Source organism: Homo sapiens, chromosome 10 (genome assembly GCF_000001405.40).
Source record: "Homo sapiens chromosome 10, GRCh38.p14 Primary Assembly".
NCBI classification, from domain to species: Eukaryota; Metazoa; Chordata; class Mammalia; order Primates; family Hominidae; genus Homo; species Homo sapiens.
The window spans coordinates 105326937-105347951 of record NC_000010.11 but is presented as its reverse complement, the minus strand read 5'-3'; the positions used below and the strand labels follow the sequence as shown (position 1 = coordinate 105347951).

General features: G+C 38.4%; 1 long non-coding RNA gene across 1 annotated transcript; it reads right to left on the bottom strand.

The window, feature by feature from the left end:
- Window positions 1-1427: 1427 nt before the first annotated feature.
- On the bottom strand, window positions 1428-19843 carry LOC105378466 (uncharacterized). Its single transcript, XR_946288.1, has 3 exons — window positions 19774-19843; window positions 12346-12579; window positions 1428-1471 (listed from the first exon to the last, which is right to left on the bottom strand). It is a non-coding gene; the product is annotated as an uncharacterized LOC105378466 (long non-coding RNA).
- Window positions 19844-21015: the final 1172 nt, after the last annotated feature.

The window sequence follows — 21015 nt, the reverse complement described above, 5'->3', positions numbered from 1 at the left end:
ATCCAACTGACCTGATCTTTTTTTGGGGATTCTCTGCCAATCCCACTGTAATCCATTCACTTATTCCACAAATATTTAATAAACTCCTACTAGAATCACCTCTTGATTCAATAAATAATTATTGGAATCTTACCATAAGACAGGGAACTAACCAGATTCTAAGGCAACATAGAGCTAAATAAGGCAAATATGCCCTCAGGGAGCATCCATGTAATGAAACAGGAGGTATTCAATGAGTAATTCCAAGTATGATAAATATCACGCAAGATAAAGGCAGAATGTCCTGGGAGCATATAATGGGTATATTACATCTATCTGAAATATGAAGGATGAGTCACAGTGGGTTAGCTGAGAAGTAGATGGAAGAGCATTGTATCAAGAGAGTACAGCAGATACGAAGAACTTGAAAAAGGAAGGCAGGTAACATCCTTGAGGAAGTGGAAGAATGCCAGTATGGTTAGAGCACTGAGAAAAAGGTGAAGAAGGGGACTAGATATGGGTGGAGAGGGTGTTGGCATAGTCGGATCTTGCAGGCCATTTACAAGTCAACATTTTGGCCCAAACACTGAAAACAATCAGATGCTTGAAGGCTTTTGAGAAAGAAATGAAATGACTATATTTGACTTTTCAAAAGGCAACTCCAACTGCTGTTTAGAGAATAAATTGTAAAAGGGGAAGTGCTAACTGGAGGCTCGTTAGCAGGTGAATGCAATCCAGGAGAGAGATGATGTGGGCTTGGACTTATGAAGTGGCAGAGACAACAGAGAGAAATGGGAATCTTAATATTAATAACTGTAGTGGCAAAGCTTATGGCCATTTGAATCCCTTATATAGCAGCTAGAGAATCTTCTCATCGCTTGCTCAGTGAGGATGAAGGATTGCCGATTCCCATTAATGCTGTAAGATCTTTCTCCCCATATTATTTACAGTATAAAGCTTCCCCTGGCCTTTCCTTTCCTCAGGCTAAATAATCCTATTTCCTTTTATCTTAACTCTTAGGATATACCAGTTCAAATTATTTAAATTGTTGTTACAAAATTTATTTTAGGGAGTGGTGGAAGGAAAGCCCCAAAGCTTTAAAAGGTGAATGTATATTTGTTATTTCCCTATTAGGCAAAGGGCACTTGAGGAATATTTTCAATTGGTTATTGTAGAAATGCTTCACATATGTAATAATCCATTAAAAAAGTGCTGGAATTTTATTGTCTATAAAACAATATTTTCATTCCATTTGTTTTGTTATAATTCAAAGAAAATATGACGGGACAGAAAGAAGTCTACAAATGATTTTTTTTTTTGAGGCATGAATACAGGAGTCTCCTCTGTTATAGGTAAAGTTGCAAGACTCAGAATGGTCACTTTGCTGAAATTCTATCAAGTTATTTTTGTTATGAAAGTGGGGACAGTGTTGATTCCCTAGACACTTCCACAGGCTTGATCTTCAATTCTTTGCCCCATTTCTGCTATTCACCTTATTAAAAAAAAAAAAGAGAGAGAGAGAGAGAAAAGTAAGGATTAAGGAGAGACCCTGGGTGACTTTATGTAGCTTCTCAAAATAAAAGCACTATATATAGTCAATGCATTATGAATCTGATTGTGTTTATATTCATGATTTTTGCAAACATCAACTTAGCCCCAGAAGCTTTTTGTTTTCTAATTCTGCATTCATGGAGGAATCCAGTATTAACCCTATGGCACAATGTTTTTGTTCCATCAGGAGAAACAGGAGGCAGGAAGCCTTCATTCATTGTTTATCTTTTCAACAGCCAGTTCCTTTCTCTTTTACCAAATTGTCGAACTTTGTATCTTTCTTTCCTCTCAAACAGGCACAACTCTACCTCTAAATGGCTTCACAAAATGACTGTGACTTAGTGATTGCATTTTTCCCTCTCATGAGCTAGCTTGCCTCTGTTAATTAGACGCTGACTTTGTGAATTCAGAGAGATGGATGCTATAAAAGTCAGAATGATATCTTTTCTGCCCTTTGCCTCATGAATTTGTACACTAACCCCTTATAATAGGCTTCTGTGTTGTATTTGATGTTGTCCATCACGTTACTTTTGATGACAGTATGGGCTGAGGATAACATTCTACCTAACCATGTTAGGCAAGCAGGGGTAGCAGGAGCTTGTCTCCCATAATTTCACGAAGACACCTCAACCCTGACCTTTAATTGATTCCCCTGTCCTCAGATCTATCTCCCATGATTTAAAACAATTATGAGATGCACTCAAGATAAAGGGATTTTGTCAGGCTCAAGGAGCGCCAAAACAAACCTCATATTCTTGTTTCTTTGCTGTTTGCAGTATTCGTAATGCTGAGCAAGATAAAATCACGGAGAAGTTAGAAGGGGGCATGAGGGAGGGATGGAATGGAGCTTCTCCCATTTCCCTGCCTTGAGCATTATGTATGCCTGTAATGATAAGGGTGGGTCAGAGCACTGAAAATCTGCAGCCGCCTCTATCACTTCCTGCAACCTGCACTGAAGCTTGAACTCTGCTTGTTCATTCTCCTGGATTAAATTCTTGTGTTTATTTATTTGCTATTTATAAAACTGCACCCTTGGCCAACTGCAGGGTTTGGGGAGCAAGTACACAGTTGAAACCAGCCAGTAAGCCACCTAAATGCCAGTATGGCAATCAACAGCTACTATCTGCAGGAACTGACTTAATGACCCCACTTCCTTCACACCAATCAGGGCGGGGATATTTACAAAGATGGGACTTCCTCGGAGCCCTGAGAGGAGTGAGGTCAGGCTTTCTTCTCTCAAGACTCACAAATCCTCTTAGAGCAATTCTGTGTTCTTTGTCCTCCTACTTGATTGCTGATAGCCAAGAGAGAAATTCAATTCCTAAAATGTCTGGGAAAATCTCTTAAACTCAGCAAAACCTTATTAATATAGAGCCTTTTGTACCTAGTCCAGGGTAGTACATGGAACAGGTGAACATTATTTAACTCTTTATTGAGTCAGTGTCTTCTGCGTAAAGGATAGAAATTGCAACTCTTTCTAATCCTTGTCTCAAGGATTTTTAAAGGACAGTTGCCATGGGCTCTTCAACTGAGAAGATGCAGGAGCAGGGAACCAGCCCCAGCCAATCAACTTTGTAAATGAAGGAAAATAGCAAACCTCTTGCCAGAATGAGGGTGGTTGGGGAATCTGTGACATTTTTGAAAATGTGGGCTTGCTGTGCTCTATGTTTAAAAGACACTACACAAAAGCTGCCTGATGGTTAGTCCTCCATGTACATATTTTCCATTACAACTGTCATTAAGGCTGAAGAGTAATGGTGGATACTCCCTATTCTGGTTCAGCCTCCACCCTCACCCTCCCTACCATGAGTTACACACATACCTGTTCCCTTTCACGCTTCTCCTCACAGTAGAGGATGAGAGGATCAAGTATACATTTAGATTCTGGTACACCATGAATTCAAATCTAGACTTTCTGCCTTTTTGGCTTTGTGACTTTAGATATTTCATTGACAGGTGCAAGGAAGGGGTTTAGTGATCAACGCATGGTGGCTGGTTGATTTTGCCGCTATAATTACAGATGTTACATTCTCTGGGACTTGGTTGCCTCCTTTATAAAAATTAGGTAAAAAATTTAGCAGGCAGGTAGGTTGTGGTGGCTCATGCTTGTAATCCCAGTGCTTTGGGGAGGCCGACGGGGGTGGGTCACCTGAGATCAAGAGTTCAAGATCAGCCTGACCAACATGGTGAAACCCCATCTCTACTAAAAATACAAAAATTAGCCGGGCATTGCGGTGGGCACCTGTAATCCCAGCTACTCTGGAGGCTGAGGCAGGAGAATCGCTTGAACCCAGGAGGCAGAAGTTGCAGTGAGCTGAGACTGCACCATTGCACTCCAGCCTGGGCAACAAGAGTGAAACTCCATCCCCAAAAAAAAAAAAAAATTACCAGGCAGGACTCATATGAAGTTTAAGCAAAATAACGCATTTTGACTTTGACTTTCCCTGACTTCCCCACAGCTACAAGGCAAGACATACTCCTCATGTACCCTCATGTACCATGTACCCCATTGGTGGCTATTTCCAGGTTTTATATTGTTATCTGCATACTTACGATCTCAACCAGGAGTCTAAGTTCCTTGAGGGAAGGGAAATTGTCTCTTTCTAGATTAGACTCTCAGAGACCAGCATAGGAATTAATAAGTACTCAGAACTATGGAATGGGTGGGTGGGTGGATGGATGGATGGATGGATGGATGGATGGGTGGGTGGATGGACGGGTGGATGGATGGATGCATAGTTTAGATGGATGAGTGCATTGATGGACAGATAGATGGAAGAAGAACCAGTTGGGTTTTTGGCCCTTAATATAATTTGAATAAAAATGTTAACATCTTTTCTTCTAATGTTGCCCAGGACACTCCATTGATATGCCTGTGCCTGTGCCAGAGTTCTCAGTCAGAGCTCCATTTCTGTTCGTCTCTGTTGCTCTTTCTCATAGTCATCAGATCTACTATGTTTCTTATTCTTAACATGAAGCTAATGACAGCTAGCTGTCTAGGTAGGGGGAAAAAGGCAATCTCATTGCCACATTAGCACAAAATAGCTAATGACGAACACATTTAGAGATATTTGTGTTTTCATCAATGACAGTGCCTTAACTGAGGATGGGTATATAAAAATGGCTTTTCAGGGCTCAGGGAGCATTTAGAAGCTGGAACTTTCTATGGTATCCAGCAGTCACAACCACCCCTCACCCATCTATCCTTAAGACATTTAAGTATAAAGTTAATTGTGAATAAGAATACCCATAAGAAGTCTCCTTTATTCCTCCTCTGATCAAGAAGAAACCTGTCATCAAGCTGTACCACACCCCCGTCAACTTGAAATACACAATTATGAGGCGTACTTGGATTTTTGCTTATATAAGGTGAGGGCTGGAGGGAAGGCTATTCCTGGTTTATTCCTGCAGCCAAACACCTGGTCCTCCTTTGACTAGGGCCAGCACACAAGCACTACTATCACTACACCCGTAAACGTGACCTGACCCAAGATCAGGCCTCGTGCTCTGACAGTAAAAGACTTATGGGACACAGGCATGGACTTGATTAAATCCAGACTTTCCTGGAAGAGGCTGAATGTGGTATTCTCCCACACCCATGTGTATGTAAAGAGGCTGCCTTAGCCCTAGCAGAATAGACCCTGGAGAGACTCATCTGATGTAGCCATGTGTGACCAGTGCTGTGGAGAGGCTTAGCATGCAAAGGCACCATCTCATAAGGTGAGGTAACAAAGGCACATTCTTCCAACCACGTTGAATGAGAAGAAGAGAAGTTTAAAATCTTCTAGTGTGGCAGCCAGTAAAGTGATTTGTCCAAGGTCATCCCTCTATCAGGGACAGAGCAGTGCTGTGTTAATGCCTTTAAAATTTGCATATAGCATTTTCTTTTTAAAACATGTTTTCATTACATTCGATTATTTAAAAACAAAATAATGTGTCAGCGAGGGGAAAGTCATACTTCCATTACATAAATAAGGAAAATGAGGATCAGAGTGGCTTTCTTATACCAAACCGGCTGATGAACCCAGGACAAGAACCATTATCCCAGCTCACAATCGGGTGGGCTTTCTGTGTCTTTTGTATTTCCTTTGTTTGGTAGGTTATGTTTTAGTTTTAAAGTACAATGCCACACAAAACATATCATATCCTCTGTTTGAAAGAAGTAGCGCATTAGCAGGAGTCATGAACAGACGCATCAGAACCTTCCCTCCTCTGTCAGTATTCAGCTAGCTGACCTTGGCATTCCAGGTCATGGCTCTGGGCTTCAGGCTCTCCACCTTCAACATGGGGGTCATGGGGTGGGTACAAGGTGCTACATGGTCTCTAAGATGCTTTCCATCTCCTTTAAAGAACTGTCACAAGTTTTGTTCCTACTTTGTGCCAGGCAATGCTCAGGCAGCTGAGTCATACATGGGTCTGTCCATAGCCCTTTAGTTGTTGTGAGACCTGTTTCTTCTTTTCTGGTCTCAGTGGAGAAGAAAAATTTGGCCACCATTACAAACCTGATCTCCCAATGCTTATTTATTTTTGCATCTTATGCTGGAAAGCATCCTTTCAAGAAGGCAGCACAAATATTATAGCCCAAACGTGCAGGTGCTTTAGCAAAATAATTAAGGCTGTGGGGTCTAAAGTGAGATAGAAATGGGAATGAGTCCATGATTCACTAAAATCTAAGAGAATGACCTTCTAAATACTAGTATTAGGGCAGTATTAGTATTAGTAATCAGAAACTGAAACCTGGGGAGGTTAACTGTACCTCGCAGCTAAGATATGGCCAGGGCACAACTGTTTTGTATAATAGGACTACAGAATAGTGAACCCGAATACAGGAGTGATGGGAGGAGGGAAGGGAGGCAGCACATTCAATATAATAATTATTACAATGTTATAATTTAGTACTTAAAATACACATTTTATTTTTGTAATATACAATAGAAAAAAAATTTCTTACTACAAATTCTGCCAAATTCTTATGACATCTGGGGATTCATGGCACATATCAGATTTTGCAAAGGAAAGGCATTTCTTATGTTTCTCAGATGCAGATATGGACTCGCAAAACTAAGGAACCCAAAAGTAGCTTTGCCACTGTGGGGCCTTGTGCAAGTGGCTTAACCTCTCATGGCTTCAGTTTCCTTCCATCTGAAATGAAAAGTTGTACTCTGGCCTTGCAGAGCAGAGCAGGGGTGAGGAGAAAGAACATCCCAGGTAACATGGCAGACAGTGGAGTCACCGTTCCCTTCCTCCTCCCGTGCAGATTGCCCATCTGGTGATCTGTTTTGTGCCTCTCCCTGCCTTCACACCCACACATACACCCCAAGGAAGCCTCTTCGCTTCCCTCTCCTTTAGGCTGGGTGTTGCTTCTGGCTTCCCTGACAGAAGAGGTGCTGCTCATTACTGCCTATATTTCTTCTTCCCCAAAGTCAGGAGCCAGGGATGCCAGCCTCTGAGGGTTGACCTTGCTGTCTCAGCCAGAGTGTTTCCCCAGGCCTAGCCAACAGCAACACACCTCAACTCAGAAATTTTTGACCTTTTCCCAATGTCTCTTTGTTGGTTGCCTCTGTCCTTTCTAAAAGCCTAGTATTGATGTTTGCCCCTAATAGAGAAACGTAAACAAGAGATAGATAAAGGTTAACAATACCCAATCAATGCTGCGGAGAGAGGCAGCACAGGGAAGGACGTATTGAAAGGCCAAATGTAAGCGGAGCTTTCCTGACAGTTTAATTGCATTTATTCCACCCGCCAGCCTCCTCCCTCCCAGCCCTTATATGTTGAACCAATAACAGGGCTGCCCAATAGTCTTTCATTTCAGCTATGCTGAGTTATTTCTTATTCTTTTTACTGCACGAGAAGAAAAACTTAAATGCAAATAGATATAGTATTGCTTTCTTAATTTTTAAAAACTCACTCTTTCCGAAACATACTCACAGGTTGTCTATTTTCAGTTGTATTCTATGTTACTCTCCTGGCCTGTGAAATATGCTCCATCTCCTCCTCACCTTCTGTTAAACTTAACCCACCAAGAAAGCCTAATTCCCCTGCTGGCCTCCCCATGAAGCATGTCTCGAGGCCCCAGCCTACACAAGAGGAATCCCTTTCTCTAATCACAGCCATTCTATCATAGCTTCCTTGGATCTGTCTCTCACAGACTAAAATTCTCACCAAAACTCAAAATGTGTGCAAGGCAGGTATTATTAATATAGTTGACAGAGGAGGAAAGTAAGGCTTGAAGGCATTATATGCATTTCCTGTGGCCATACAAAATGTCACAAGTTTTGGAGTTAGAAGTTAATGTTAAGATGTAACTTCTACTTTATTTTCTATCATTTTATGTACTTAATTTAATTTCTTTTAAAAGCAGCACAAGATTAATTAGTCGATAGCTTGTATCTTAACAAGGAAGGAAGGAAGGAAGGAAGGGAGGGAAGGAGGGAGGGAGGAGAAGGGGAGGGAGGGAGAGGGGAGGGAGGGGAGGAAGGGAGGGAAGGAGGAAGGGAGGAAGGGAGGAAAAGAAAGAAGCCCCATCATGACAATGAATAAACCACTCACTGGCAGAAGACTATGGATGAGGATCAAATCTTTACTAATTAATACCAATATTATTTTTCCTTATATAATAATTTATTTTGTCATAATTCTTGTTTTCTATACCTATGCCTCCCTATTACCCAGCTTATAGTTTTCCAAGAGCAAAAATTATATATTAGCTCCTTTAAAAGAAACTGACAGGTAAAAGCCTGAAATTGAAGAAGAAATCATGGGTGCTTGTAGAAGGAGTGTCACTTAGCAAAACAAAAAAAAATTTATGTCTAAACAATTCTTCCTTTACTCTATTTTATAAGATTAGTTTTCTCTACATTTGATTTACAAATTTCGAGGTATAAAAACACACATGTGGCAAAAAATTAGAGGCATCGGAATAAAAAACCTGTGTTCTTTCTGCTTTATCTATCATGAAGCTTGTCCATCTCTGTATGGCTTGCAAATAGCACAATACATGTCTAGAAACCTCATACCCCATGAAATGTGTACAGAATAATGGTTTTATTTGAGGAGAGATTCTGCAAGTCAGTAACTGCATGGTTCTTTCCAAACATGGGGAGAATGATACCAAGGTTTCTGCTCCCTCCAGAGCAGAGAAGAGGGAAGAGGGTGCCAAGAACTGGGAACCCAATTCATTTTCTGTGTTCATCTCCATTTATATGTTACAGGAAGATAAACAGCAAAATAACGTTGCATCGGAGAAAATTGCATCAATTTTTAATTATGCATTTAATCATCCTCTTCCAGAAGGGCGGGCTGTCTTTCGTGACATTTTTACATATTTGAAAGCAGCACTGTGTGAACACAGAACAAGACATTTGGTTTATTAGATGTCACAGACAATTTTAACTGACACTGATGGGTTGATTCAGGGGGCAAAAGCCTTTTAAGGGGTGTGAGAGCCAGACACGAAAGAGACATGCAATACACAGCCTCAGAAATTTTTCTTCCAATTATTCACTTAATTAATTTGCTAAGGAATTTTCTATAAGGTATAATGTTCTAAATGTTAGAAATACATAGATGAAAGAGGGCACCTAGTCTGAAAAAGTTCACAGTGTAATTATTGAAGCAAGCATCCCAATAAATAAATGAAAATATACTGAGACAAGAGCAATATTAATAGACACAGGGAAAGTTGAGATTGTCTTTATCTGAGGTGAGTAACCACAAAGGTTTCTGGCTTCTCCGAAAATATTTGGAAGATTCTGAGCAGGCTTTTGAGGGATAAATAGGAGCTTTGAAAGGAGGCAATATGGTATTGTGTGTATGCTTGTGTGTGCCCTTCATATGCCCAGGGGCACACTTCAGAAGAGGAGGAGGTGATTTCCGGCTAGAAGAAACAATGCTTGCAAAGGCCTGTAGACATTTTTAAAAGTGATATTGTACCTTTCATAATAGAAATGACCAATGGTGGATGCAGTGCACAGATATTGAATTATGTTTTATAGTTCTGTCAACACAGAATATTTGTTTCTGTAATACAACCGAATGCGATCAAGGTAAGATATGAGGACAAAGCTGAAATTCTTGTGGTTGAATCTGCCTTGACTTCTGAAATGTACCAAAGTGCCTTTACTTCTTTTTTATTGTTGTTCCTTGGCTGTATTTATTTATCTATTTTTTGATTGTGGCAAAATATACATAACATAAAATCTGCCACGTTAGCCATTTTTAAATGTACTGTTCATTGGCATTAAGTATATTCACAATGCTGTGTTACCATCACAACCATCCATCCACAGAACTCTTTCCATCTTTAAAACCGAAATGCTATACCCATTAAAGCACTCCCCATGTACCATTTGCCAACATCCCTGGCAATCACTATTCCACTTTCTGTCTATAAATTTGACTATTCTAGGTACCTCATGAAAGTGGAATCACAATATTTTCCCTTTTATGATGGGCTTCTTTTACTTAGCTTACTGTCCTCAAGGTTCATTCAGGTTGTAACCTGTGTCAGAGTTTCTCTACTTTTTAAGGCTTGGTGATATTTCATTGTATGGACATAAAACATTTTGTTTATTCATTTATCCATTGATGGATACACGGGTTGATTCTACCTTTTGGCTATTGTGAATAATGCTGCTATGAACATGGGTGTACAAATATTTCCTCAAGGCCCTTCTTTCAATTCTTCTGGGTACATACCCAGAAGTGGAATGACTGGATTGTATGGTCCTTGTTAAGAGTAATGCTTAGGATATAGCTAAGATACCTGAGATGGTTTGGAGTTGTTTCCCCACCCAAAATTCATCTCAAATTATAATCCCCATGTGTTGAGGGAGGGACCTGGGGAGAAGCTATTGAATCATGGGAACAGTTTCCTCCATGCTGTTCTATGATAGTGAGTGAGTCCTCATGAGATCTGATGGTTTAAAAGAGGTGATTTGCCCTATACTTTCTTTCTCCAGCCTCCATGTAAGACGTGCCTTGCTTCTACTTCACCTTCTGCCATGACTGTAAGTTTCCTGAGACCTCCCCAGCCATGTGGAACTGTGAGTAAGTTAAACCTCTTTCCTTTGTAAATTATCCAGTCTCAGATTGTTCTTTATATCAGTGTGAAAAGAGACTAACACAATACCCAACTCTGCTCTGTGGGGAAAAGTCTTTGCATTCAAAGTCAGAAAATATGGACTATCATCCAATTTGTATGATTACTTGCCATGCAGACTTGAGTAAATCACTTTAGTACCTCATACTTAGTTTCCTCATTTGACAAAATAGTATGTTAGACTAAGTATTATCCGAATCCATTTTAGCAGTGGCATTCCACAGTTCTATGCATGTGGTAGTTGTGTCTCCTCTTGGACTGCTGAAGGAACGGGACTTGGGTTATCCATTATGATCACATTATATACCCACATTCTGCCTTGTCCTAGGTAGGTTGAAATAGCATACAATTTGATTGCTCATGAAAGCAAGGATAGTGAGAAGTCTAGTTATAAATGCAAATGTAAACATGCAACATTTAAATCACAGTATATTACATAGTCTAATTATAGGCTAGTACTTTGTCCTAGAGACCCTATGGCAGTGGTGGTGCAATAGATCAGAGTGCAGCTTCTGGAGGCAGACTACCTGGGTTTGAATCCTAAACCTCCACTAACTAGTTGTACGACCTTAGGCAAGTTATTTAAACACCCTATGCTTTAGTTTTCTGATTGCAGGAATAAAACATTTCCGATCTGTTTTATTCTTTCTAACAGTTATGAAGCATTCCATTGGATGGATGTAACATAGTTGATTGATCCAGTGTCCTATTGAAAGACATTTAGATTATTTTCAGTGATTGACTATAAAAAAATTCAGTAATTTTTATGTGTATTTGTATTTATTTTCTGAGAATATTACTTAGGAATAGAAACCTAGAGGAGGAATTGAGGGGTCAAATGTTACGGATGTGTTTAAATTTTTAATTTATTATAGATATATACTAGCTGTACATGTTTATGGGTTATTCTTGGTGGTGGTGTTTTTTTTTTTTTTTTGAGACGGAGTCTCGCTCTGTCGCCCAGGCTGGAGTGCAGTGGCGCGATCTCGGCTCACTGCAAGCTCCGCCTCCTGGGTTCACGCCATTCTCCTGCCTCAGCCTCCCGAGTAGCTGGGACTACAGGCGCCCGCCACCACGCCCGGCTAATTTTTTGTATTTTTAGTAGAGGCGGGGTTTCACTGTGTTAGCCAGGATGGTCTCGATCTCCTGACCTCATGATCCGCCCACCTCTGCCTCCCAAAGTGCTGGGATTACAGGCGTGAGCCACCGCGCCCGGCCGGTGGTGGTGTTTTAAGGCAAAATTTGGAACAATTTGTATGCCATACTACCTTTTCTGTAAAAAAAAAATCATGCATATTGATGGCAAGAAATTGGCAATAGCAGTGACCTCTGGATGGTGAAACTGGGAGACTAGAGAATGGGGATGGGATAGGAGAGCAGCATGCTTTTCAAAGAAAACCTTTTAGTTGTGTTTGCATTTTCTACCTTGTACATGTGTTACTTTTACATCAACATAAACTGTTTTAATTAACTAAAAATTAAATAACAGAAAATAATAATATACACTTGATAGTATATTCATAGTATTGTTACGAGTGTTAAATAAATACAATAGCTATAGTGGTGCATGCCACTTGTCCATAATTTGCTTTTATGGTCCTCTGTATGTTATATGCCCCTTCTTGATAAACTCTGCTTACTTTCCCCAGCAAAGAGTAAATGTTAGAACGTTGTAATCTGAAGTATTCTGAAGCTCTCAGATTCTGTGCCCTCACCTTTATTTTAACCTCAATTTCTCCTCCTCTTGTCTTCTTATATTTCTCTTTCCTTCAATCTTTGTCCACATTCATTTATGCTATTTATCTTGATTTATTTTTTGTCTCCCCACTTCTCCACTCATTCTTCTCATTCCTCCTGTTACCTACTAGTCTTTCTCTCACTTTTCTTTATCTTTCTTCTGGCTCCTACATTGAGATAAGCTCGTCTGTACAGGTGAAGCATTTAAGATTCTGAAATAAAATGAGGTCACAGATTAGATGCTGGCTCCTATAAAGGCCCAGGATACTCAGTGGGCATTTTCTGGGATCTTGAGGAAAGGACAGGGAAAGCTTAATTCTAAAATAGCCCCAACTACTTCGAAATCCTCTGAAATCCTATATCACTCCGTTTCACTTTTGTCAAATTAGTTTCTTGAGTAAAAAGTAAAAAAGAAAAAATAATCCTTCATGCAAAGCTTTCTTTTTTCAAAAAGAAAGGTATTATTACATAACTACAAGGTCATTTTCAAATCTAATAGCAATAACAGTATTTTTTTAAATTATCTAATATCTATGGTTGTCCATGATTGTCTATAAAATGTCTTTTACAAGTGATTTATTTAATTGATGTGTAAGGAAAAAGTCCATCATTACCTTTGGTTGTTCTAAGTCTTTTTCAGCCACTTTTAATCTAAAGCACACCCTCACTTCTCTTTTTTCACATTTGTTATTTGTTGTATAAACTGGGTTAGTTGTCTTGTAGAAAGTTCCCCATTCTTAACTTGACTAATTATTTACTTGTGCATCATTTACCTATCCCCCATCTCTTGTGGTTTCTACATGGACTGTAGACTGTAAATTAGATTCAGGTTATGTAATTTTGGTAAGAATGTTTCACAGGTGGCACCGTTCAGATTGCCTCCCACCAGGCAGCACATAGTGTCCGTCTCACTTTTAGTGATGCTAAGATTGATCTCAGTGAGTTCAGGTGGTAACAACATAGCTCCGCATTGCTCTGTGATTGGCACGCAAAGCCTAGATTGAGAGATTGAGTCATTCATTGAAGTATCATGGACAGTGCCTTTCCGCCTTCATGGAGATTTTCAATCAATTCTAAAAGACTGGGTGGCTGGATAAACAAACACCTCCCTCCTAGAGTTGATGCACCCTTTACAGTCCTGAGAGTTTGCAATTTGCAGGGACCGTTCAAAACACTTTACAAATCTTAATCCATTTATGCTCACAAGAATCATCCACATTTTGCAGGTGAGACACCCGAGGTAGTAAAATGTTACAAGTGACTTAACTTGCCAAGATCACATCACTGCCACTGAAAAGTGGCGGTAATGAAGTTCAAACTCAGGATGTCAGATCTCAAAACCCCACTCTCAACCACTTCCCCTCCCCACCTTTTCTGCATAGGTTACCTCAAACCCAACTTTTTCTAGGAAGCCAGGCTTGACTGCTCCAGTACTTTTCTATATCTCATGTGACATAATGTAGCACCTAAATTGTAGAATGTCCTGTATTCTGTATTCTTTGCAGAAGAGAGCATAATCTACCTGAAGACATGAGATGGGGAACCTAGAAGGGGAAAGTTTATTTCAGGCTATTCCTTTCTAATTTCTCTTGGGGAAATTTACCTTCTATGGGCTTGGTTTCCTGCTTTAATAATATTTCTCTCTTACAGTCTTTATGAAAATTTGATGAAAAACCATAAAAGAATTTTGTAACCTTAAAACAATGTCCCAATATTTTTCATTCATTCATTCATTCATATTATTCTCTCTTCCTCTTTTCCTCTCTCTCTCTCTCTGTCATACACACCCTCTCCATTGTTAGATTGTGTCATTCTTAAAGTCCAGGGACCTCCTATCTCTTCCTTTATTCTCTCCCACAACTTCCACAATGTTTTCTGTTGTTGTTGTTGTTGTTTTGTTTGTTTGTTTGTTTTGCTTAGGACTTTTGCTGGAACATCAGTCACTAAGACTTGCTGAACACTGAAACATTCAGGGGCTCTGTCCTTATTTACCACCAAAAGCTTTATTTCCCCATGGACTCCCATGCCAAAGATGACTTAGAAACCCTGCAGGTCTTCTGGAGAGTTCTGCAAGCCCTGGAGAGTTGCCATGTCTAGCACTCTTGACAGCATTACATAGGAGGCAAAGAACACCATTTATATTAAAGTCACATTGATTTACATTCTACTTAGTTACATCATTCACACATGGTAAATGTGCTTCTAATTCAGAACCACCCTTGGGCAAGATTATGAGGTTCCCTAACCCTTTGGTGTCTAACCCTTTAACTCATCTCCCTTCCAAATCTGCATGTAGAATTCCCCTGATCTTCTTTAGGGTAAATTAATTTTTTGATGTGTGTGTGTTACTATAAAATGGAGGCTTATGTCTTATTTATCCCTAGTGCAGATGAGTGATTTAACTGAAGTCTTTGAATGACTATAATTTTACACAAGAAATTAGCTCCACGAGTAGAAATTTTAAGCATGCTATTGGTGTTAGGGCCAAATAGGAAGGGATAGAATTTGAGACATGTAGACATTTCAGAACTCATCAAAGTGACTAAGAAAGAGGCAAGGCTGCCCATTCTACTATCTGTAAGGCAAGTCTATTCTTGACGTAAAGATTAAGAAGTTCTGAATAATTATTTCTCTTGTGAACTTTTAGGGACTGCCCATAAAATAAGCTGAGGATAGTCTGAAGTTCATTGCTGTATTACAATTCGAATAAAGCTTCTAAAGGTTATTATTTGCATCTTCACCTTATAAAATGAAACACCTAATTGCTATGTGTTGACCATGGTCAATTTAATCAGACTTAGTGAGCATTTACTCAGTAGAGTAGGTCATTTAAGTCCAGAAAGATACTAATGCCTCCTTCCAGATGTTTATGCATAGGCAGAACCATGCAGAGAAATGTAAATGGATGAATGTGAATTCAAATCTTGACACCGTAAATTACTAATTAAAAAGTTACTTAACTTCTTGTACCTCAATTGCCTTCTCTGCAAAGCAGGAAAAATAAGGCTAATATTCCAGATATCCTGTTTTATGAGTATCTTAAAAAAGACAATATAGGAACGTACATGGCATACCATGGTCTTTCAACAAATATCAGTTTCTTTTCTGTCTGAATTTACTACAGATTGTGCTATTTGTGGCATAAGTGCAAGGCACCACAAGCCTACAGAAAACAAAATAATTTTGACTGAGAGATGTTTCGTAGTAAGACTGTGTCATATGTCCTGTGTGACCCTTAATTTCATACTTTCTTTTAATCTCATTTAATTTTGTATTCTAATGTTCATTAATCTCTTAAGTTCAAATATGTAGAGTTTGGTTTAGAAAAATATCCTCATAGAAAAATGTTTCCAATTCAGACTCTACCATGTCCAGAAATCTTATCTTTGTCCAGTAAGCAGAGATTTCCTCACTCTAGATTCTCTATCATTCTTGGCCTTATTTCATTTCTCAGCCACATCTAGCCAGGATGATGAGATCTTTGAGCATTATTACTTAATGTTACCATGTATCTCCCACAATCAAAGCCTCTGCAGCTTCATGGCCTTAGCCTTGTTTCAAACACACATACACACATGCACACACACACACACACAAACACACACACACAGAGAAACTGAGTTTCTAGTAAGGAGTTAGGTTTTTCGTTATTTTATTTTGAGAGTAATAATCACCAAACTCCTGGGCTCTCAGTTTATGTTTGCTATTTGCAAGACAATATAAATCTCATAATAGTTCCTCACTGATTCCTTCTTGTGTCTTTTGTGTTTTTGTTTTTATTTTTGTCTTTTCTCCTCTCTTCTGTTTTTCCTTCTCTTTTTGGATTAAACTCTCTCTCACGGAATACTTCAGTACCCACTTTATGCTCTGCATTGTTCAAACATAACCAGACACATTCTATATTCTTCTCTTGTGTTTCAAATAAATGGGCAAATGTCTGGTTGAAGCAAATGGGAGTCCAGGCATCAAAAAATAAGCTCCCAAAAAGCTCATGTGGGTGCCCAGAGCCAAAGCCACATAGCCAGAAAAGGCTCTGCATTCTGTCATGCACACAGATGTTTATTTGTTCCTTATAGAAAACAAGGTGAGTAAGTGAACATTTGGGTTCCCAGCACGGGTGCAAACACTTGCTCGCTAAGTCTGCATTACAGATGGTCATAAGGAGAGAGCTAATCATGTGAAATGGGCAGGTTTATGCCATTTTGAAAACGTTTTCTGGGCAGAAACAAATTTACCCTTATAGTTGTGTGTACTGAAAGATCTATCTTTGTCTGAAGTAAGGTATCTTTTTTTTTTAACTGTTGTCTTCAGCTTCATTGCTTAGCACTTAAACTATGCTGCCTTGTAATAATACATTTTCTTTTTTTATAAAATAAGAAAATAAATATAAAACTTGATTTCTGCACCTAAGATCTTGCATCAGTTGAAAACACAATTCTCTACATTTGCCACTTCAACTACTTGGTTATTTAATTAGTTTACAAATAGACCTGTATTACGGAATTAAAACAAATCTTCCTTTGCTATTTTGTACATTGCTTGCATCCACCTGACTGCAGTTAATAAATCCTTGAGCATGATCATCTAATCCCCTGCAAAGAAATAATAAAGTCCATGATTCCACATTAAGCTATACATTTGCTTACTGTACGTTGACTTTTCTCTTTGTGCTGGACCCTGCAAAGAGGCAGCTATGATGCAAGGAGAGTCTCAACATCCTTGAGCCACAGTTTTCTGCTCCATAGAATGGGAATAATTATTTTGAGCCATTGAGGATAGTACGAGAACTTAGTTTTTTTGTAAGCCACTAAGCCACAAATCACTATACAAATGTTGGGTTGATGCCATTTTCTTTCCTGGCTTATTTTCACTTCTTTTTAACACACTCATATATATATATATATATATATATATATATACACATATATTTTTTTTTGAAGGCCAAGGTCCTGAAGACTCTCAAATCCAGTCTTTATTTATGAACACCTACAACCATATTCTATAGTCTTCATGGTCTGAAAAATAAGTATATCATGTAATTCCTGCCTCACTTCTTTTTGGTGGCAAGCAAAGAACTGATTTCAAAGAAGTTTAAGCAAATAAAGAGGTATGTATTTGTGTTTATGTGTTTAAGATAAAGTGACTGTCTCACAAAGACCAAGGACAAGGAATTCTGCCGGGCTTGGCAAAAAACTAAAACCAGAATGGAAAAGATTTCAGAAACAATTCTGAAAGCACTCCACTTCTGTTTTCTCATCTGCTTTATTCTCCTCTCTTCTTCATGCCCATGCTGAAGGATAATGCTCTATGACTCCCAAGTATATATAACCACTGTTGAAGCAAGCACACTTCCAAATTTCAAGGAGAGAAAATGTTACTGGCTCATCTTGGGCCAGTTATCCACTCGTGGCCCGTACACATGGCTGCCTCTGTTCCTCCCTTTTGGTAGACAGAGTAGTCATGGGGTGTGTTGGGACAGCTGTTCTAAAATGATGGTTTACAGAAGTTACATAAATGCCTCAAAAGTCAGCTTATATAATTACATTCTCTTCTGTTGTATTTTCTAATTATTTCAGTTCCCAGAGAGATTATAAGTTTGTATGACGCCATGTTTAACTAAATAAGAAATATTCTGTGCTTATGTGTTCTCCACACCCACCAAAACACACAATGGTACTTGAGAAATATTTACTGGTTTAATAAAAGCCGAGCATATTAAATAGACACACTGACATGGTCTATATATTAGAAAAATAGCTATATATAATATTAAGTATTATATATATTTATATAAATGTATGTTTATATTATTTGTGTATGTATATATATTTTAAAAAATTTAAGCCAAGACCTGAATGAAAGTAAGCTATGAATCATTTACTGATTAGTATGTCGGAAAGAAGCAAAAAAGTTAATGTGTCCTTTGAGCTAGATGAGAAATGTGAGGGGAAACAGTCAATGATGATCAGTCTTCCCTACGGACCGTATGTGAGACCTCTCATCTAGTATGCTTCATCATGAAAAATCCTTAGATTGGGGAGAATTTTAAGAAGACTGACAGCCCCCTTATAAATATCCATAATTGCTTCTATTTAGAAAAATGAGGAATTCTGAACTAAGGCAAAAGGGAAAGAAGGATTGGGGAGAGAAGTGTCCTCTTTGATCATTTTTCCAAAGGGAAATTGTAAACATTTCAGTTTTGCTATCCATTTTCATTGACTTCGGAATCTCTGTTTCACGGTGGATTTATAAGACTTTAAATATTCACCACCATAATCCATGCCTTAAAGATGAATTATTATTTTTTAACCAGCATTAAAGTTCAAAAATGGAATAAAAGCTTTGCTCCATGATCAACCAGATTATCTCTCAGAAAAAAGAAATAGAAGAACAAGTCATATAACAAGATTTAGACTTCATGGGGAACACATTTTACGTTGTCTCTTTTGAGGGAGAATTTCTCGTATATGTTTCCCTAATCTGAGGGTTTGGAAAAGAAAGCTCTGTTCTAGGTTTTATAGTTAACTAGATTTAGCACATTTAAATTTCAGAAATGGGAAAATGATCTGTAAACAAAATCAAATTGCTAGCTAGTTGCCCTTGGATAGGATCCAGTCTGAATAGCATTGGCCTTGGATGGGATCCAGTTTGCACAGTAGTAGCTATTGTCTTTAAAAACTAAAATTATGGCCAACATTTAAAAATCTGGCATTTTCACATTAATTTTTGGAGTTCTAGCTTTATCTTAAGAGATTTACAATTCTATGCAACAACTTGCTGAGTTTAGAAGAGGTTGCCCCCTTTTAGTTTTCCTTTGTTCTGTTTATCATAGTCCCATGCCTCTATTGTCTTTGGACCCTGAGGATGCATGCCAGTGATCATTTAATACAGCATTCTTTCTTTTGTTTCTCTTATGATACTGTTAAGTGGAAAGTGTTTTGGCTCTTGTCCCAGCACTCTATTCAAAGAAAGTAAACCAAAGAAGGACTGAGTGACCATATGTTTCAAGAAAAGTGAGAGAGAACATATGTCTTTCTGGAAATAAAGGACTCTCTTCCATGTGTATATGTAGGCAGGAAAGTAATATAATTTAAGTCCCCACTATAAAATAAACCCAGGCTGCTTCATCCATTTTCTATTAAACACCCACGGGAACTAGGTCCTTGACTCATAGATTTATTAGACCTCCTCTAGTTCTAATACTCGGTTATTCTACAGAAAATTCTAAGTGTTTGATTCACCATTTTGATAAATGTAGCAAAATAATTTCCATGTAGCAATGAAAATAAATGGTGGAAGAAAAAAATAACAGTATTCTTTAAAGAGATGAATACAAAACTAGGGATAGGAACTCAAAGCTGGAATTCAGATCCCCTAGGTCACAGCCCAGGACTATTTCTACTTACCCTGTCTTAGATGCAGTAACCAACAGCAGAAGCATTACTGAGCTGTTTGAGTCTCTAAGCCTCTTTTCACTGAAAAAAAAAAAAAAAAAGTACAAATCTCTTGAACTTCACAGGAACCTTCTTTTTCATTTTCTCAATGACTATGCATTTTGCAATGATAGTATATGTTTTTCTTTCTTCTATAAGAATTTCCCAGATCCCTTTGGAGCAGCCATCTCTCTTCTGGACTCTTAGTGTGTTGAGTTTCTACTGTCCCTGAGACTGTGAACATTTTCTTGGTTTACCAATAGGGTAGGCTTGGTTCTCAAGACACATACTAATTGTGTTTGGTGCAAAATTGCCTATTGCATTTTGACCATTAATGATTCATGGTGTTTTCTATTCCTCAAGCAAATGCCAAATTGTGTACTTTCCAGGGAAGTCCAGAGCTTCTGCCTTTTCCTGCCTGAAGAAGTTACTTGGGTAGGATTCACAAGGATTCCTAGTTCATCAATTTCACAGAAAACAGAGGAGAGTGCGTTTTCAGGGGCCTGTATTTCAAGAAGTCCAAGGAAAACTCTACAGAAAACATGGAGCCAACATTCCCACTCAGATCAGAACTAAAGCTCAGAATGAGGCTCTTGCAAGAGAAGAAAGCACCGGAAAGTTTAGTGCTAAGAAGCCAGTTACCAATGCCTTACTGTGTGTTTTAAAATGGAGTCATAACACCTCATGAAACTGTATGGGAGAGTCTTTGCTGCAAGAAATACTTGCTTAAAGAAATACTGATCTATTGGCTCTAGGTGATCTCGTAGGAATTACTCAAAGGTTCTCAAAAACTAAGATGTGAATTAACAAATGCAAAAAGGCCAGATTTGTAGCTGAATCTGCTAGAAGTCAACCTTCATTTGGAGAGGGCCTGCAAAATCAAAGCCCAGAATACTGAGGTTGCTAAATAACATAAAATGCACATTATCCCTTCTATTAAAGGTCCATTAGTACAAGACCCATTACTTCATTTACAACTTAGGTAAACAAATTTTATTTGTCAAAATAAATGATATTTCAAAAGCTATGTGAAGCAAGAAAGTGGCTATAATTGTTTGTAATATATTTATTAAATAAAACTCATTAGTAATAATAATAATAAAGGGGAAAAAGCTCATTTACCATCTTGGAGGTGATTATTATACCAACATGGAATAATTTAATTCTTTCAACAATAATGTAAAAAGAATAAGATGATAATAAAATTGTTAGATA